Source organism: Homo sapiens, chromosome 5, assembly GCF_000001405.40.
Source record: "Homo sapiens chromosome 5, GRCh38.p14 Primary Assembly".
In the NCBI taxonomy this organism is placed as follows: domain Eukaryota; kingdom Metazoa; phylum Chordata; class Mammalia; order Primates; family Hominidae; genus Homo; species Homo sapiens.
In genome coordinates this window covers 74,975,759-74,978,304 of record NC_000005.10, presented here as the reverse complement: position 1 = coordinate 74,978,304, position 2,546 = coordinate 74,975,759, and positions in this window count along the sequence as shown.

Here is a 2,546-nt window from a genome sequence, read left to right as displayed (position 1 = left end):
TCTCGGCTCACTGCAACCTCCACCCCCTGGGTTCAAGCAACTCTCCTGCCTCAGCCTCCAGAGTAGCTGGGATTACAGGGTGGCGTGCACCATGCCTGGCTAATTTTTGTGTTTTTACTAGAGATGCAGTTTTGCCAAGTTGGCCAGGCTTGTCTCGAACTCCTGGCCTCAAGCAATCCACCCATCTTGGCCTCCGAAAGTGCTGGGATTACAGGCGTGAGCCACCACGCCCAGCCTTTTTTGTTGTTGTTTTGTTTTGTTTTAAGATGGATGTTAAGACCATTGATTTGAGACCATTGATTTTAAGATTTTTCTTCTTTGCTAATATAGATGTTTAGTGCTATGGTTTTCCCCTTAAGCACTGTTTAAGTGGCATTTCATAAAATGTATTATGTTTTTTCCTTCTTACTTTTTTTTTAAGTTCAAACCACTCTGTAATTTTCCTTTTGATTTCTTTGATCATAGTTAGTTTCCAAATATTTGGAGATTTTTCAGAGATCTTTCTGTTATTAATTTTTATTTTAATTCCATTGTGGTCAGGCAACATCCCATAATCTGTTTGGGTGGTTTCCTTCCTGGTCTTAGGTGGTTTCCTCACATGCATGTGGTGATCAGTACTTGGCTGAAGCTCAAGGAGGGCCCTCTGCAGATCTCTGGATTGCTGGCTGTGCACAGCAATCTCTTCTGTGGTACTCTGGCCTGCAAGATTTATCGGCGTTGTTCTTGGTGGCTTGGCTCTATCGTCTCAACTTAGTCTGCTGGCCTCTGCCTGGATTCCGCCTCCTCCATAGCCTGAAAACTCTTTCAAGGCGGTAATCCAGGGCAATCATAGCGCTCACCTTCCCCACCCCCACACCCCAGCCCTTTTGTATCTCTATTCTTCTTGTCTGATGTCCCAATGTCTTAAAAAATCTGTCATTTCATATATTCTGTCATCTTTTATGTTCACTTCAAGCAGAAGGGTAAATCTAGTCTCACTTTGGCCAGAAAAAGAAGTCCCTGAGTGGGCTAGCATCTTAATCCTTCTCTTGAAACTTTCCCTCATGCTTAGGGCCTAATAATCCCAAAATGGCTGTTCTATCACTAAGCATTATATTTACATTTAATGCAGATTTAATGCTAATCATGCTTGTCCATGTCATTATAAATGCAAAATCTTTTCCAAAAAGTTACCCAACAAACTTACTTAAATAGCTCATTGGCCACAATGAGGTTACCTGGCCATCCTTATCTGCAAGGAAGTCTGGGAAAACAGGAAACAGTGTTGTCATGATTGGTTTATGTTTAAGTGTGATTTAGCGCTGACATATTGCCATCCCAAAAGAACTAGAGAAGGAGGGGGTGGGGGATAGAGGATACTGGAGCTCTGTAACTGAGGCAACCAACCGGGTCATCTTCACAAAGTAAGGCCAGCTTATCTCTCCAGTTGGGTCTTTTTGCCTTGGATACAGTCCACCCAGGCTTTTCTGACAATTGGCTGCTTTCCAACCTTTCTATATTTGATAAGGGTTTCTGTGTCCTGAAGGCTGGGGATAACATTCTAACACCCTCTAGAAGTTACTTCTCACCTTTGGGGAGATCTTTGAATCTCTAAAATATCAGACCAAAAAGAAATCATCAATTAAACTACTAATCGTTTCAGCCTCTGTATTTAAATTTTCTGTTATTTGCTTTTAACTAAAGTTAAAAGAGCAAGTGGACATAGAATCCAAGTGAATTCTACTCCACTAACTTTAAAGGTCAACTCAGTAAAGTACATCTAAGGGTCCATTGCTTTATTTATTCTGCCTCGTTCACTCAGAGGTGATCGGAGAAAATAAAGATCCAGTTGTTTCTAGCATTCTCCCTAGCAGTTATGGCCGAGAAGTGTGAAGTTTCACGTAGATTGATGGAGCAGTTCAAAAACTGCAAGCCTAACTTCTAGACCCAAGGAGGCATTTTCTTTGGCCAGGGAAAGATCATTCTGTGCAAATGGTTGGAGTTTAAGTTTGGGTCACTGGCAGAGTCTCTAGGCACTTAGGTGTTAACTTTACAGTAGAGGAAAAAGCAATTATTTTTACACCAGCATTTTAAGTCCTAAGATTAACTTTAGAAGTGTCAGGAAAAGGGGAAAGTAGTTCTTATCTTCACCTAGTAAAGACAAACGACCTACTTTTTAATTTAGTCATGTAAAAATACATTATGTGAAGAAAATCAAATATTCTCTCTTCCCTGGATACTGAGACTAATTCTCCATGAGACTTTATTTGTTTCATGAAACAATTGAATAAATTCTCAGAAGAATGAACTGCTAAGGCAAATGTGGCTTGAGAAAGATTCTTGAGGAAGAAAAATCTTAAGGTTTAGGTGATTAGAGAGTCTAAAGATGGGTTGGCTGTGGAAGAGTATTAGAGGAGAGAGGACTAGCTTGTAAGATAGTATCTGGCTGGAAGAGAGGTAGGATGAGATCCGAGAAGAATTGACAGGCACTCCATTGGGCATTTCTTATGTTAGTAAGAATGGGCTAAGTTATGCTGCAGTAACAAACAAGCCCCAGATCTCAAAGG